Genomic DNA, 18,848 nt, shown 5'->3' on the forward strand with positions numbered 1-18,848 from the left:
AAGAAGAGGATCACATTGCAAAATATTTTGCGTGTTGGGGAAATGTTATCTTACATGAAATGTTAGGCTTTTTCATTTTATGATTCAAGCATATTAGTGGTTATAAGACCTGAAATAGACACATTTCAATGAAAAAGCAACTTAAATGATAGTTGTTTTCTAGCAGATGGAGGAATTTAGTTCATATCTAAATAAGAGCTTTATTTAATCAGATTACCAACTCTGCAAATTGGATTAATGAGTAATTTTAAGCACTGCAGGCATTAAACTTCATAGAAAGGTTTTCTATTTCTAGCATTTCCATCTTACTGAGTTATTTTTAATTTTTTTTAACCATTGATGTAGGGCAATGGCATATTTTTACTTTTTCCCAGTAGCATTGATGGACAAAATGTTATTTCTCTAATAGGCTCCTTGAAAGAAACTGTCTAGTGATCACACCTACCCAGGATTTTGTAGCTAATAGGAAGAAGAACTCAAACTATGTGCTGAGAGTTTGTGAAAACATATGATCCTGCTGAGGAGATTCAGTGTTTTTCCATTCTCAGACCTACTTGATTTTAGACCTGTAGTCAAGGTCACTGTTGGGCCCCTTGGCTAAGCTCAACTCTGGGCTCAAGGCCAGTGACTTCCGGGATTCTGCCATCAATCTGTCTTTTGTGGTACAGAAAAGAAATCTGAATTCAATACCTGTATAATCCCTTCCTCTAGCTTCATGTGTCCCTATACGACTTTTTAGCTTTTCCTGTTATTCAGATATCAGAGTAAAAGCTTTGGGTACTTCTGTGTAGATATCCCTTCACTAGAGGTAAAAAGGTACAAAAATCACCCACAGCCACTCCTGTTCTCCAGCCTCAGAAAAGGAAAGTATTCTGGGGAAGAGGCAGAAGATAGGATGAAAAAAAGGCACAGTAGAGTGTAGAAAACACTTGTGAAGATGGTAACAGTATGTCTTTCATGAGATACAGTTTGTAATTTTACTTTAATTTCCAATTTGAAGGAAAACTAGCAACATATAGCATATCATATAGAATCAAACCATGCTTTATATTTTAGAGTGTGCATAGATGACTTTATCCAGCTCCTGGTTCTATTACATTTTTTGTGTAGATATATCAGAATGTTAGAGGGGATGCACATGGTGAAGGGGATTGGTGGATGGAATGGGAAATTTCCTACATTCTACATGCTACATCTTTTGGGGGTTGTATTTTCAGACTCTGTCTTCCTTCCTCCTACCTCTAACTCAAAATATTCTATGGAGAGATTTTATCAGTTTTATTTTCCTTCAAAAGACTTAAGTGCTTTTCTGAGATAATCACAGTCCTTAGATGATCTCAAAACTACTCAAACATCTATATGATCCTTGACAATTCCAAGACAAAATTATGCAGTTCTTTATTCATGGATGCAGGCAAAATTTGGCAAAATGTAATCTATTCCTTTATAGTGAGGGCCTTATCAAGCCTGCTTGGCACAGGCATTCTAAGGGCAATCACAGGCTCTTAGGGGAAACTTAATGTTATATTACATGGGTGACCAAGAGGTAGGATCTCCATTTTATCAAAAGGGAAGTCACAAAAGCAATGAGTTATTAAACTGGTGATTTCACCGAATGTAATTCAATTATGGTTGTATCAATCAAGAAGTCAGTTTACATACTTCTTATTGCAATATATTGCTACGGGTATAAAAAACAGCATTTTATATTTTCAAAATCAATGACTAAAATTATCAAAGTATTTTTAAATAACTGAAATCATTAGTCAAGATCATCAGACGTCTTGAATAATTTCCCATTCTGGGAGTCAATCTTCTTATTTCAGCTGACTTTTGGCCTCTATTACTTAGAGAACTCTAACAGTTAGAGAACATTCAGTTTAAACTTTAATGAAGACTTACTGAAAATGAGCAAAAGAAGCTATAGTGCAATGCACAGATTTTCCAAATTATACTTTGTATTTACTGTCTGTTTACTAAATACTGCCTAAATACTTTGTACTTACTGTCTAAAAGGCATTGGAGAAGTGGCTGGCAAGATGGCCAAATAGGAACAGCTCCAGTCTGCAGCTCCCAGTGAGATTGACGCAGAAGGCAGGTGAATTCTGCATTTCCAGCTAAAGTACCCAGCTCATCTCATTGGGACTGGTTAGACAGTGGGTGCAGCCCATGGAGGGTGAGCCGAAGCAAGGTAGGGTGTCACCTCACCCGGGAAGTGCAAAGGGTCGGGGAACTCCTTCCTCTAGCCAAGGGAAGCCCCAAGGGACTGTGCCATGAGAGACAGTGCACTCCAGCCACAGATACTATGCTTTTCCCACAGTCTTCACAACCTGCAGACCAGGAGATTCCCTCAGGTGCCTATATCACCAGGGCCCTGGGTTTCAAGCACAAAACAGGGAGGGCTTATGGGCAGACAGTGAGCAAGCTGCAGGAGTTTCTTTTCATACCCCAGTGGCACCTGGAACACCAGCGAGACAGAAACATTCACTCCCCTGAAAAGGGGGCTGAAGCCAGGGAGCCAAGTGGTCTAGCTCAGTGGATCCCACCCCCACAGAGCCAAGCAAGCTAAGATCCACTGGCTTGAAATTCTCCCTGCCAGTACAGCAGTCTGAAGTCAACCTGGGATGCTTGAGCTTGGTGGGGGAAGTGGCATCCGCCATTACTGAGGCTTGAGTAGGCAGTTTTCCCCTCACAGTGTAATCAAAGCTACTGGGAAGTTCAAACTGGGCAGAGCCCATGACAGCTCAGCAATGCTGCTGTAGCCAGACTGCCTCAGGGCATCTATGAAAGAAAAGCAGCAGCCCCAGTTAGGGCCTTATAGATAAAACTCCCATCTCCCTGGGACAGAGCACCTGGGGAAAGGGGTGGCTGTGGGCACAGCTTCAGCAGACTTAAATGTTCCTGCCTGCCAGCTCTAAAGAGAGCAGCAGATCTCCCAGCACAGCACTCGAGCTCTGCTAAGGGACAGACTGCCTCCTCAAGTTGGGTCCCTGACCCCCATGTCTCATGACTGGGAGACACCTCCCAGCAGGGGTCAACAGACACCTCATACAGGAGAGCTCCGGCTGGCATCTGACAGGTGCCCATCTGGGATGAAGCATTCTGTGCTGTTCTGCAGCCTCCGCTGGTGATAACCAGGCAAACAGCGTCTGGAGTGGACCTCCAGCAAACTCCAGTAGACCTGCAGCAGAGGGGCCTGACTGTTAGAAGGAAAACTAACAAACAGAAAGGAATAGCATCAACATCAACAAAAAGGAAGTCCACACAAAATCCCCATCCAAAGGTCGCCAGCATCAAAGACCAAAAGTAGATAAATCCATGAAGATGAGGAAAAACCAGTGCAAAAAGGCTGAAAATTAAAAAAACAAGAACATCTCTTCTCCTCCAAAGGATCACAACTCCTTGCCAGCAAGGGAGCAAAACTGGATGGAGAATGAGTTTGGCAAATTGACAAAAGTAGGCTTCAGAAGGTGGGTAATAACAAAGTCCTCCGAGCTAAAGGAGCATGTTTGAACCCAATGCAAGGAAGCTAAGAACCTTGAAAAAAGGGTTAGAGGAATTGCTAACAAGAATAACCAGGTTAGAGAAGAACACAAATGACCTAATGGAGGTGAAAAACACAGCATGAGAAGTTCATGAAGAATACCCAAATATCAATAGCCAAATCAATCAAGCAGAAGAAAGGATATCAAAGATTGAAGATTAACTTAATGAAATAAAGCATGAAGACAAGATGAGAGAAAAAAGAATGAAAAGGAACAAACAAAGCCTCCAATAAATATGGGGCTATGTGAAAAGACCAAACCTACGTTTGATTGGTGTACCTGAAAGTGACAGGGAGAATGGAACCAAGTTGGAAAACACTCTGCAGGATATTATCCAGGAGAACTTCCCCAACTTAGCAAGACAGGCCAACACTCAAATTCAAGAAATACAGAGAATACCACAAAGATACTCCTCAAGAAGAGCAACCCCAAAACACATAATCATCAGATTCACCAAGGTTGAAATGAAGGGAAAAATATTAAGGGCAGCCAGAGAGAAAGGTCAGGTTACCCACAAAGGGAAGCACATCAGACTAACAACAGATCTCTCTGCAGAAACTCTACAAGTCAGAAGAGATTGGGGGCCAATATTCAAAACTCTTAAAGAAAAGAATTTTCAGCCCAGAGTTTTATATCCAGCCAAACTAAGCTTCATAAGCAAAGGAGAAATAAAATCCTTTACAGACAAGCAAATGCTGAGAGATTTTGTCACCACCAGGCCTGCTTACAAGAGCTCCTAAAGGAAGCACTAAACATGGAAAGGAAAAACTGGTACCAGCCACTGCAGAAACATACCAAATTGTAAAGAACATTGATGCTATGATGAAACTGCATCAACTAGTGGGCAAAATAATGAGCTAGCGTCATAATGACAGGATAAAATTCACACATAACAATATTAACCTTAAATGTAAATGGGCTAAATGCCCCAATTAAAAGACACAGACTGGAAAATTGGACAAAGAGTCAAGACCCATTGGTGTGCTGTATTCAGGAGACCCATCTCATGTGCAAAGACATACATAGGCTCAAAATAAAGGGATGGAATAATATTTACCAAGCAAATGGGAAACAAACAAAAAAAAACCCCAGGGGTTGCAGTCCTAGTCTCTGATAAAACAGACTTTAAACCAACAAAGATCAAAAAAGACAAAGAAGGCCATTACATAATGGTAAAGGGATCAATGCAACAAGAAGAGCTAACTATCCTAAATATATATGCATCCCTTACAGGAGCAACCGGATTCATAAAGGAAGTTCTTAGAGACCTACAAACAGACTTACACTTACACAATAATAGTGGGAGATGTTAACACCCCACTGTCGATATTAGACAGATCAATGAGACAGAAAATTAACAAGGACATTCAGGACTCGAGCTCAGCTCTGGACCAGGCTGACCTAATAGACATCTACAGAACTCTCCACTCCAAATCAACAGAATATACATTCTTCTCAGCAACACATTGCACTTATTCTAAAATTGATCACATAATTGGAAGTAAAACACTCCTCAGCAAATGCACAAGAATGTAAACCATAACAGTCTCTCAGACCACAGTGCAATCAAATTTGAACTCAGGATTAAGAAACTCACTGAAAATCACACAACTACATGGAAACTGAACATCCTGCTCCGGAATGACTACTGGGTAAATAACAAAATTAAGGCAGAAACAAATAAGTTATTTGAAACCAATGACAACAAAGGCACAATGTACCAGAATCTCTGGGATACAGCTAAAGCACTGTTTATAGAGGGAAATGTATGGCAATAAGTGCCCACAGGAGAAAGCAGGAAAGATCTAAAATCGACACCCAAACATAACAATGAAAAGAACTAGAGAAGCGGGAGGAAACAAATTCAAAAGCTAGCAGAAGACAAGAGATAACTAGGATCAGAGCAGAACTGAGGGAGATAGAGACACGGAAAACCCTTCAAAAAATCAGTGAATCCAGGAGTTGGTTTTCTGAAAAGATCAACAAAATAGACCGCTAGCCAGACTAACAAAGAAGAAGAGAGAGAAGAATAAAAAAGACACAATAAAAAATGATAAAGGGGATATCACCACTGATCCCAGAGAAATACAAACTACCATCAAAGAATACTATAAACACCTCTATGCAAATAAACTAGAAAATCTAGACGAAATGGATAAATTCCTGGATACATACACCCTCCCAAGACTAAACCAGGAAGAAGTCGAATCCCTGAATAGAACAATAACAAGTTCTGAAATTGAGGCAGTAATTAATAGCCTACCAATCAAAAAAAAGCCCAGGACAAGACAGATTCACAGCTGAATTCTACCAGAGGTACAAAGAGGAGCTGGTACCATTCCTTCTGAAACTATCTTTCAATCAATAGAAAAAGAGGGTCTCCTCCCTAACTCATTTTATGAGGCCAGCATCATCCTGATACCAAAACCTGGCAGAGACACAACAAAAAAAAAGAAAATTTCAGACCAATATCCATGATGAACATCGATGCAAAAATCCTCAATAAAATACTGGCAAACTGAATCCAGCAGCACATCAAAAAGCTTATCCACCATGATCAAGTTGGCTTCATGCCTTGGATGCAAGGCTGGTTCAACATACGCAAATCAATAAATGTAATCAATTGCATAAACAGAACCAATGACAAAAACCACATGATTATCTCAATTGACACAGAATAGGCCTTAGAAAAAATTCAACAGCCTGTCATGCTAAAAACTCTCAATAAACTAGGTATTCATGGAACGTATCTCAAAACAATAAGAGCTATTTATGACAAACCCACAGCCGAATGGGCAAAAACTGGAAGCATTCCCTTTGAAAACTGGCACAAGACAAGGATACCCTCTCTCACCACTTGTATTCAACATAGTATTGTAAGTTCTGGCCAGGGCAATGAGGCAAGAGAAAGAAATAAAGGGTGTTCAAATAGGAAGAGAAGAAGTCAAATTGTCTCTGTTTTCAGATGACATGATTGTATATTTAGAAAATCCCATTGTCTCTTCCCAAAATCTCCTTAAGCTGTTAAACAACTTCAGCAAAGTCTCAGGATACAAAATCAATGTGCAAAAATTGCACGCACTCCTATACATCAATAATAGAGAGCCAAATCATGCGTGAACTCCCATTCACAATTGCTTCTACAAAGAGAATAAAATACATAGGAATACAACCCACAAGGGATGTGAAGGACCTCTTCAAGGAGATCTACAAATCACTGCTCAAGGAAATAAGAGAGGACAGAAACAAATGGGAAAACATTACATGCTCATGGATAGGAAGAATCAATATCATGAAAATGGCTATACTGCCCAAAGTAATTTATAGATTCAATGCTATCCCATCAAGCTACCATTGACTTTCTTCACAGAATTAGAAAATAACTACTTTAAATTTCATATGGAACCAAAAAAGAGCCAGGGTAGCCAAGACAGTCCTAGGCGAAAAGAACAAAATTGAAGGCAGCACGCAACCTTACTTCAAACTGTACTACAAGGCTACAGTAACCAAAACAGCATGGCACTGGTACCAAAACAGCTATATAGACCAATGGAATAGAACAGAGGCCTCAGAAATAACACCACACATCTACAACAATCTGGTCTTTGACAAACCTGGCAAAAACAAACAATGGGGAAAGGATTCCCTATTTAATAAATGGTGTTTGGAAAACTGGTTAGCCATATGCAGAAAACTGAAAAGGGACCCCGTTCATTACACCTTATACAAAAATTAACTCAAGACAGATTAAGGACTTAAACGTAAGACCTAAAACCATAAAAACCCTAGAAGAAAACCTAGGCAATACCATTCAGGACGTAGGCATGGGCAAGGACTTCATTGCTAAAACACCAAAAGCAATGGCAACAAAAGCCAAAATAGACAAATGAGATCTAATTAAACTAAAGGGCTTCTGCACAGCAAAAGTAACTATTATCAGAGTGAACAGGCAACCTACAGAATGGGAGAAAATTTTTGCAATCTAACTCTCTGACAAAGGACTGATACCAGAATCTACAAAGAACTTAAACAATTTTACAAGAAAAAAACAAACAATTCCATCAAAAAGTGGGCGAAGGCTACGAACAGACACTTCTCAAAAGGAGACATTTATGCGGCCAACAAAGATATGAAAAAAAGCTCATCATCACTGGTCATTAGAGAAATGAAAATCAAATCCATGATGAGATACCATCTCATGCCAATTAGAATGGCAATCATTAAAAAGTCAGGAAAGAACAGAGGACTGGAGAGGACGTGGAGAAATAGGAATGCTTTTACACTGTTGGGGGGGAATGTAAATTAGTTCAACCATTGTGGAAGACAGTGTGGCGATTCCTCAAGTATCTAGAACTAGAAATACCATTTGACCCAGCAATCCCATTACTGGGTATATACCCAAGTATATACTGGGTATAATACCCAAAGAATTATAAATCATTCTAATCTAAAGACACATGCACACGTATGTTTATTGCAGCACTGTTCACAATAGCAAAGACTTGGAATCAACCCAGATGTCCATCAGTGATACACTGGATAAAGAAAATGTAGCACATATACACCATAGAATACTATGCAGACATAAAAAAGGATGCATTCATGTCCTTTGAAACACATGGATGAAGCCAGAAACCATGATTCTCAGCAAACTATCACAAGAACAGAAAACCAAACACCGCATGTGGGAGTTGAATAATGAGAACACATGGATGCAGAGTGGGGAACACCTCACATCATGGCCTGTCAGGGGGTGGGGGTTTAGGGGAGGGATAGCATTAGGAGAAATACCTAATGTAGATGATGGGTTGCTTGGTGCAGCAAACCACCATGGCACGTGTATACCTATGCAACAAATGTGCACATTCTGCATATGTGTCCCAGAACTTAAAGTATAAAAAATATATATATGTATATATATATATATATACGTATATATATATATATATATATATACGTATATATATATATATACACACATGTGGCTTTTGAAAGCCTTTTAAAGATTTTAAAAGAAATATTATATTTTCTTTCTAAAACGTGGGTGGAAATAAGCCAAAAAATAATTGTTATGTTAATTTTCTAGATACGATTAGTACTTATAATCCTAGGAAAATATATAGCACTTACATCTCTAAAATGCTTTATTAAGTTTATTTTTCAGCATAATTTAGTAATTTTCAGTAATTAAAATTATTTCCTATTTCTGCATATTAACAAAGTGAATGTTAACTGAAGAACACTTTTGTGTTTTTTTGTTTTTGTTTTTTGTTTTGAGACAGAGTCTTGCGCTGTCACCCAGGCTGGAGTGCAGTGGCGCGATCTCGGCTGACTGCAAGCTCCGCCTCCTGGGTTCATGCCTTTCTCCTGCCTCAGCCTCCCGAGTAGCTGGGACTACAGGCGCCTGCCACCATGCCCAGCTAATTTTTTTTTGTATTTTTAGTAGAGACGGGGTTTCACCGTGTTAGCCAGGATGGTCTCAATCTCCTGACCTTGTGATCTGCCTGCCTCGGCCTCCCAAAGTGCTGGGATTACAGGCGGGAGCCACTGCGCCCGGTCCACTTTTGTTTTACCATATATAATAACCCTTTGTGTTTATGAAATTTTGCATTTCATTAAATTGGCATTTACTTTAAAAATTTTTGCATATTTTGAATTGGTTTAATTTAAAGTTTGCAAGCATGGTTTCAGAACATCTATTTATGAAACAATAAATGACCATAACATTGTGAATCTTATGTATTTTCTATACCTATTTAATTTTACTTGATACATATTTGAATATATTTGCTTTGATCCTAAAAGTGATTCATATTTATTGATAAAATTGAAAGTATAGGGAATAAAGAAGAAATTAAAATCACATCACTTTAATAATAGATAATATTTGCTTAGCGTTTAGATGTTTTATATATATTCATATGTAGCATAATCTTTATTAATATCTATAGATTTCTCTGTATTGATATACATATTATGCATTACGGAAGTGCTGGGCAGCACTCCGTAGATGTCCTCTATAAACATATACATATATTTTTTCTATTCATAAAAATCTTGAGGCAAGACTCTATGTATCTATATTCATATAACTTTTCTTTATTCCCCCACCCCCATACTCACACAGATTAGCAACTGATCCAAGAAAGCTGAATGAGATCTTTCTCTAGGGGATTTGGATTTGGAAAGAACAGATTCCAGCTTCACACTCCTTGGTCTATTGGATAGAGGAAAAACCAACATTTTCTGACATGTACAGTAGAAGGTGGAAGAAGGCAGGATGCAGCAGGGGAGAAAAGTAAGACAGGCCAGAAGAAAGGAGGAGATACAGAAACAGGGAAAATGTCTTCACTACTGTGCAGCCACAATTAGTGTATTTACAAGGCTTGGCTAAATTCCTGACTTTCATTCTTTTGGTATATTTCCAATTTGCTTAATTGAATGGGAGTGGGTTTTATTTACTTCAATATCAAAAGAAGCTTAATTAATATATCTTTAAAAACTGTTGTTTCATTTAGCAATGTATCATGGACATTTCCCCATCTCATTAATTTTTTTTCTAAAATTTACTTTTACATTGTAACTATTCACTTATAAAAGTTTCAGAAGTAGAGTTACTGTGTTAAAATATGAACATTTGCACGGCTATTTTTTGTCAAATAATTTATGAATTATTTTCTAGAAGTATCTACCAAGCAATGAAATTCCTTGCACTTTTGCTAATACTGGGTACTATCGATAAAAGCTATTTTAAATGGAAAGTTCAAGTGAACAACAAATATATCTTAAAACATAATAATAATGGAAATAGTGTACCATACTCAAATTTCTTAGCTTTTTAGAGTACTTATGAATTAAAATTAAATTTTATTAAAAATATTAAATCTGTACATTTTTGTTTGTTTGTTTTTTTCTTTTTGAGACTGGGTCTCACTCTGTTGCCCAGGCTGGAGTACAGTGGTGTGATCATGGCTTACTGCAGCCTGGACCTCCCGGCTCAGGAGATCCTCCCACCTTAGCCTCCCAAGTAGCTGGAACCACAGGCACATGGCACCATGCCCAGCTAATTTTTAAATTTTTTGTAGAGATGGGGTCTCCCTATGTTTCCTGAGCTGATCTCAAACTCCTAGGCCCAAGAGATCCCCCTGGCTTGGCCTCCCAAACTGCTAGGATTAAGGCATAAACCACTATGCCTGTCATAAATCTGTAAGTTTTTATAAGAAGGATTGAACCCCATAATATTAGATGTAAAAGAAACCAATAATTTATCATAACGCAGTCTTGTAAAGAATTAAAAGCAAGTATAGGCATATTTTTAAATGTACTATTGAGATAAAATGCTGAAATTCAGGTCTTTTTTTCTCTGAGTGGACAGAAATCACACTTATAAGTACCTGACTATAGTTTGGTCATTCTACATTTTCTTTTTTCTTTACTTTTTTTTTTTTTAGCAGGCCGGGGGACAGGGTTTTACTGTATCTCACCCAGGCTGGACTGCACTGGTATTGTCGGTATTATCACAGCTCACTGCAGCCTCGACTTCCCAGGCTCAGGTGATACTCCCACCTCAGCCTCCCAGGTAACTGGAACTACTGGCATGTGCCACTATTCTGAGTGAGTTTTTTGTATTTTTTGTAGAGACGGGGCCCATGTTGTCCAGGCTGTTCTCAAACTCCTGAGCTCAAGTGATCCGCCCACCTCAGCCTCCCAAAGTGCTGCGATTACAGGCATGAACCAACATGCCCAGCCATTCTAATTTTTCTTAGATAGTTATAAAGACCTCACGCACAAGAGGGATATCCTCGTAAGTAGTGTTCAGTGTTGTGTAACTAGCTTTTCAAAATATGACCAATAACCATTAAAAAAAAATGAATGTATTGACAAAATAACCTCCTTGGGAAACTGTTCTATAAAAATGAAACTACTGAGATGTAAGGACAAAGATAAAAGCATATTTGTTACAGCATATTTTTTTAACCAAGTATCTACAGGAAAATGGGAAAACTACTATTTATGTACCAGAATTATGGTACATCTCTACTAAGGAATATTATGTTGTTAAATCTGTTTATAAAGTGCTACATATAAGTACATGTGTGTATACATGCTTGTATGAGCATAGATACGTGTGTTGAAGGATATATCCAAAAGTATTAAAACCTGTTACTGTTACTTGGGGGTCAAGGGGATGGGAGTCAGAAAGCAAGAGATTACAAACATGTTTTTACACACTTCTTTATTTACTTGTTCACAATATGCATAACTGTTTTGTAACTAAAGAAACCTTTTTAAAAAATTGAAAGAAAGAGAAAAAAAAGAAATAATGAAGTTACCATTAACTACTTACTTCAGGAAAAATATAGAAGCTTCTTATCTGGTAGTTGCTGTTAATTCCCCCTCCCCCATCCTAAGGATTAGACATTAAATTAGTTTCATTTTGAGATAATTGCAGATTCACATGAAGCTGTAAGAAAATGCAGAGATCCTGTGAACTCTTTACACAGTTTCTCCCAATGGTAACATCTTTTATTTTAATTTCAATGTGTTTTCTATCTTGAAACTTTGCTGAATTCATTTATCACTTCTAGGAGGTTTTTGGATGAGTCTTTAGGGTTTTCTAGGTATACAATCATATCATCAGCAAACAGTGACAGTCTGACTTCCTCTTTACCAAACTGGGTGCCTTTTGTTTGTTTCTGTTGTCTGATTGCTCTGGCTAGGACTTTCAGTACTATGCTCAATAGAAGTGGTAATAGTGGCCATCCTTGTCTTGTTCCAATTCTCAGGGGGAATGCTTTCAACTTTTCCCCATTCAGTATAAGGTTAGCTGTGGGTTTGTCATACATAGCTTTTATTACCTTAAGATATGTCCCTTCTATGCTGATTTTGCTGAGGATTTTAATCACAATGGGATGCTGGATTTTGTTAAATGTCTTTTCTGCACCTATTGAGATGATCATGTGATTTTTGTTTTTGACTCTGTTTATGTGGTGTATCACATTTATTGACTTATGGATGTTAAACCATCCTTGCATCCCTGGTATGAAACCCACTTGATCATGGTGGATTATCTTTTTGACATGCTGTTGGATTCGGTTAACTAGTATTTTGTTGAGGATTTTGCATCTGTGTTCATCAGGGATATTGGTCAATAGTTTTCTTTTTGTAATGTCCTTCCCAGGTTTTGGTATTGGTGTGATACTGGCTTCATAGAATGATTTAGGGAGGATTCCATCTTTCTCTATCTTTTGGAATAGTGTCCATCTTTCTCTATCTTTTGAAATAGTGTCAGTAGGATTGGTACCAATTCTTCTTTGAATGTCTGACAAAATTCAGTTGTGTATCTGTCTGATCATGGACTTTTTTGTTGGCATTTTTTTTTATTACCATTTTAATCTTGCTGCTTGTTACTGGTCTGTTCAGAGTTTCTATTTCTTCCTGGTTTAATCTAGGAGGGTTGTGTATTTCCAGGAATGTACCCATCTCCTCTAGGTTTTCTAGTTTATGCACATCAAGGTGTTCATAGTAGCCTTGAATGATCTTTTGTATTTCTGTAGTATCGGTTGTAATATCTCCCATTTCATTTCTAATTGAGCTTATTTGGATCTTCTCTCTTCTTTTCTTGGTTAATCTTACTAATGATCTATTGATTTTACTTATCTCTTCAAATAACCTGCTCATTGTTTCTTTGATTTTTTGTTTCAATTTCATTTAATTCTGCTCTGATCTTTTTTATTTCTTTTCTTCTGCTGGGTTTGGCTTTGGTTTGTTCTTGTTTCTCTAGTTCCTTGAGGTGTGACCTTAGATTGTCTATTTGTGCTCTCTCAGACTTTTTGATGTAGGCATTTAATGCTATGAAGTTTCCTCTTAGCACTGCTTTTGCTTTATCACAAGGGTTGTATCATGATTATCATTCAGTTCAAAAAATTTTTAAATGTCCACCTTGATTTCATTGTTGACCCAGTGATCATGCAGGAGCAGGTTATTTAATTTTCATGTATTTGCATAGTTTTGAGGGTTCCTTTTGGAGTTCATTTCAAATTTTATTTCACTGTAGTCTGAGAGAGTATTTGATAGAATTTTAATTCTCTTAAATTTATTGAGAGATTTTTGTGGCCTATCATATGGTCTATCATGGAGAATGTTCCAAGTGCTGATGAATAGAATGTGTATTCTGCAGTTGTTGGGTAGAACGTTCTATAAATATCTCTTAAGTTCACTTATTCTAGGTAATAGTCCATTGTTTCTTTGTTGACTTTCTGTCTTGATGATCTGTCTAGTGCTGTCAGTAGAGTATTGAAGTCCCCCCACTATTATTGTACGGCTGTCTATTCCATTTCTTAGGTCTAGTACTAATTGTTTTATAAATTTGGGTGATCCAGTGTTAGGTGCAAATATATTTAGGATTTTGATATTTTTCTCTTGGAGAAGTTCCTTAATCTTTATATAATGTCCCTTTTTTTTTTTGTAACATCTGTTGCTTTAAAGTTGGTTTTGTCTGATATAAGAATACTTACCCCTGCTCACCTTTGGTGTCCATTTGCATGCAATATCTTTTTTCACCATTTTACCTTATACTACTTTATATCAGTCATTATGTGATAGTTGAATCTCTTGAAGATACCAAATGCTTAGTTGGTGTATTAGTCTGTTTTCATACTGTTATAAAGAACTGGCTGAGACTGGATAATTTATAAAGGAAAGAAGTTTAATTGACTCACAGTTCGGTGTGACTGGGGAGGCCTCAGGAAACTTACAATCATGGCAGAAGGTGAAGGGGAAGCTGGCACCTTCTTCACAAGGCCGCAGAAAGGAAAAGCTCTGAGCAAAGGAGGAAGAGCCACTTATAAAACCATCATATCTCTTGAGAACTCACTCACTATCATGAGAATGGCATGGGGGAACCACCCCCATGATTCAGTTATCTCTTCCCATGATTTTGGGAATTACAATTCAAGATGAGATTTGGGTGGGGACACAAAGCCTAACCATATTATTCAGTCCCTACTCCCCCCACCAATCTCATGTCCCTTTCACATTTCAAAATCAATCTTGCCTTCCCAACAGTCCCATGAAGTCTTCATTCATTCTAGCAATAAACCAAAAGTCCAAGTCCAAAATCTCATATAAGACGAGGCAAGTCCCTTTCACTTATGAGCCTGTAAAATCAAAAGCAAGTTAGTTACTTCCTAGATACAATGGGGATACAGGCATTGCATAAATGCACCCTTCCAAAGGGGAGAAATTTATCAAAACAAAGGTGCTATAGGCCCCACAAGCAATTCCAAAATCCAACAGGGCAGTCAAATCTTAAAGCTCCAAAATGATTTCCTTTGACTCCATGTCTCACAGTCAGGTGATGCTGTTGTAAGAGGTGGCCTCCCCATGGCCCTGGGCAGCTCCATCCCTTTAGCTTCGCAGGGTACAGTCCCCCTCCTGGCTGCTTTCACAGGCTGGCATTGAGTATCTGCAGGTTTTCAAGGGGCATGGTGCAAGCTGTTGGTGCATCTACCATCCTGGGGTCTGGAGGATTGTGGCCTTCTTTTCACAGCTCCACTAGGCAGTGCTCATGTGGGGACTCTGTGTGGGGGATACAACCCTACATTTCCCTTTCTCATTGCCCTAGCAGAGGTTCTCTATGAGGGCTCTGCCCCTGCAGCACACCTCTGCCTCCACATCCAGGCATTTCCATACATCCTCTGAAATCTAGGAGAAGGTCCCGAACCTTAATTCTGGTCTTCTGTACACCTGCAGGACCAACACCATGTGGAAGCTGCCAAGGTTTGGGATTTGCACCCTTTGAAGCAATGATCTGAGCTGTACCCTGGCCCCTTTTAGCCACAGCTGGAGAAGCTGGGACACAGGGCACCAAGTCCTGAGGCTGCACATAGCAGGGGGGCTCTAGACCTGGCACAGGAATCCATTTTTCCCTCCTAGGCCCCTGTGATGGGAAGGCTGCTGTGGAGGTCTCTGACATGCCCTGGGGACATTCTTTTTCCATTGTCTTTCATTGCCGCAAGATGGAGTGAGTGCAAGCAGAGGAAATGCCAGATGCTTATAAAACCATCAAATCCCATGAGACTTACTCACTGTCAAGAGACAGAATGGGGAAATGCACACCCATGATCCCACCCTCGACATATGGGGGTTTGGGGACTATAATTCAAGATGAGATTTTTGGGTGAAGACACAGCCAAACCATATCAGTTGGTGAATTCTTATCCATTCCGCCATTTCATATCTTTTAAATGGAGCATTTAGGCCATTTACATTCAATGTTGGTATTGAGATGTGAGGTACTATTCAATTTCTCATGCTAGTTATTGCCTAAATACCTTTTTTTCATTGTGTTATTGTTTTATAGGTTCTGTGAGATTTATGCTTTAGGGAGGTTCTATTTTGGTGTATTTCCAGGATGGGTTTTCAGATTTACAGCTCCTTTTAGCACTTCTTGTAGGGCTGGCTTGGTAGTGGTGAATCTCTCAGCATTTATTTGAAAAAGACTGTATTTTTCCTTCATTTATGAAGCTTAGTTTTGCTGGATACAAAATTCTTGGCTGCTAATTGTTTCATTTAAGGCTAAAGAAAGGACCACAATCCCTTCTAGTTGGTAAGTTTTGTGCTGAGAAATCTGCTGTTAATCTGATATGTTTCCTTTTTTTTTTTTTTTTGAGACAGAGTCTTGCTTCATCACCCAGGCTGGAGTGCAGTGGCACAATCTCAGCTCACTGCAATCTCTGCCTCCCAGGTTCAAGCAATTCTCATGCCTCAGCCTCCTAAGTAGCTGGGATTGCAGGCATGTGCCACCATGCTGAGCTAATTTTTGTATTGTTAGTAGAGATGGGGTTTCACCATGTTGGCCAGGCTCATCTCAAACTCCCGAGCTCAAGTGATCTGCCCACCTCAGTCTCCCAAAGTGCTGGAATTACGGGTGTGAGCCACTGCACCCAGCCAGGTTTTCCTTTATAGGTAATGCTTTTGCCTCATAGTTCTTAAGATTCTTTCCTTCATCCTGACATTAGATAACCTGATGACTATGTGCCTAGGTGACGATCTTTTTTGTGATGAGTTTCCCAGGTGTTCTTTGAGCTTCTTGTATTTGGATGTCTAGATCTCTGGCATGCCCAGGGACATTTTTCTCAATTATTTCCTCAAATACGTTTTCCAAACTTTTAGATTTCTCTTCTTCCTTGAGCACACCAATTATTCTTAAGTTTGGTCGCTTAACATAATCCCAAAATTCTTGGAGACTTTGTTCATTTTTTTAAAATTCTTTTTTCTTTGTCTTGTTGGATTGGGTTAATTTGAAAGCCTTGTCTTTGATCTCTGAATTTCTTTCTTCTACTTGTTCAATTATATTCCTGAGACTTTCCAGTGTATTTTGCATTTCTCGAAATGTGTCCTGAATTTATAGATGTTGTGATCGTTTTTTATTTATGGTCTCTATTTCTCCAGAGATTTTTTCATCTATATCCTGTAACATTTTTAAACTAATTTCTTTAAGTTGGTATTCATCTTTCTCTGGTGCCTCCTTGAGAAGCTTAATAATCAACCCTCTGAATTCTCTTTCTGGCAATTTAGAGACTGCTTTGTTTGGATCCATTGCTGGTGAACTAGTGTGATCTTTTGGGGGTGTTAATAAGCCTTGTTTTGTCATATTACCAGCGTTGTTTCTCTGGTTCCTCCTCATTTGGGTAGACTATGTCAGAGCTAAGATCTAGAGCTCAAGGGCTGCTGTTCAGATTCTTTTGTCCCATGGGGTGGTCCCTCGATGTGCTGCTCTTTCCTGTTCCCTAGGGATGGGGCTTCCTGAGAGTTGAATCACAGTGACTGTTATTTCTCTTCAGGATCTAGCTACCCAATGGAGCTACCACGCTCTGGGTTGGGACTGTGGAGTGTCTGCAAAGAGTCCTGTGATGTGATCTGTCTTCAGGTCTGTCAGCCATGGATACCAGCACCTGCTCCTGCAGAGGTAGCAGGGGAGTGAAGTGGACTCTGTTAGGGTTCTTGGTTGTATCTTTGTTTAGTATGCTAGTTTTGTGTTAGCTGGCCTCCAGCAAGGATGTGGCACTTTCAAAAGAACATCAGCTGTGGTGGTATAGGGAGGATACCAGCTTGCCCTAGGTCATCTGAATAAGTATTTGGGTTTCTCATGTAGTGGACAGGGCCATAGAGCTCCCAAAAGATTATGTTCTTTGTCTTTGGCTACCAGGACAGGCAGAGAAAGACCATCAGGTGGGGTCTGGGTTAGATGTGTCTGAGCTCAGACTCTCCTTGAGCGGGGCTTGCTGCAGCTGCTGTGAGGAATGGGGGTGTGGCTCCCAGGTCAATGGAGTTATGTTCCCAGTGGGATTATGGCTGCCTCTGCTGTGTCATACAGGCCACCAGGAAAGTGGGGAAATCTGGCAGTGACAGGTCTCACCCAGCTCACATGCAGTCTGAAAGGCTAGTTGCACTGCCATCATGCTCCACCACAGCCCAATGGCACCACGTTTATTTTCAGGCAGCTGGTGAGCAGGGCTGAGAACCTACCTCAGGCTACAAGCCTCCTCTCTGAGAAAGCAAGCAAAGCTTTTACATTTTGTACCTCCCTGCCTGCCATGCCTTCTGTGCTCATATCAAACTCCAGGTTTGCCCCCTCCCCCAGGTTCTATCCAGGAAACTTCGTGTTCAATCAAAATTGTTACAAAGTTCAGCTGGAAGTTTCCATCTCCCTGTGGTCTTTCCCCAGTTTCAATGGCAGACCCCCTCCCCTCACCCCCAAGTACCTCTGTGAGACAAAGTCAGAATGGCTTCTTGGGGACCAAGAGTACCCACAGGGCTTTTCCTGCTGTTTTCTCTACCCCTATATTTCACTTTCACTAAATTTGTCTCAGCTCCAGGTGAGGTCAAATAACATTTTTTCAGAATTCCACAGCTATACATGTACCTATGTAGATGTGTGTGTATTTATTTCTGTGCAATTTTATCACTTATGTAGATTCCTTTGTCTATCTCTGCAGTCAAAATACAAAGGAGTTTCAACTGCTCAAGTATCCCTTATGGCTCTTTTATAACAGCATTTACCTCTCTCACCTGCCTTGTCCCTAACCGCTGGCAACTACTGTTCTCTTATTCGCGTCTATAATTTTGTCATCTCAAGAATGTTATACAAATGGAAACATCTATTATGTAACCATTTGGGATTGGCCTTTTCTTCTTAGCATAATTATCTAAAGATTAATTAAAGATATTCATTGTATCAGTAGTTTATCTGTTTTTATTGTTGAGTAGTATTCCATGGTATTGAAGGACATATGGATA

Source organism: Homo sapiens, chromosome 7 (assembly GCF_000001405.40).
Source record: "Homo sapiens chromosome 7, GRCh38.p14 Primary Assembly".
Taxonomy (NCBI): Eukaryota; Metazoa; Chordata; class Mammalia; order Primates; family Hominidae; genus Homo; species Homo sapiens.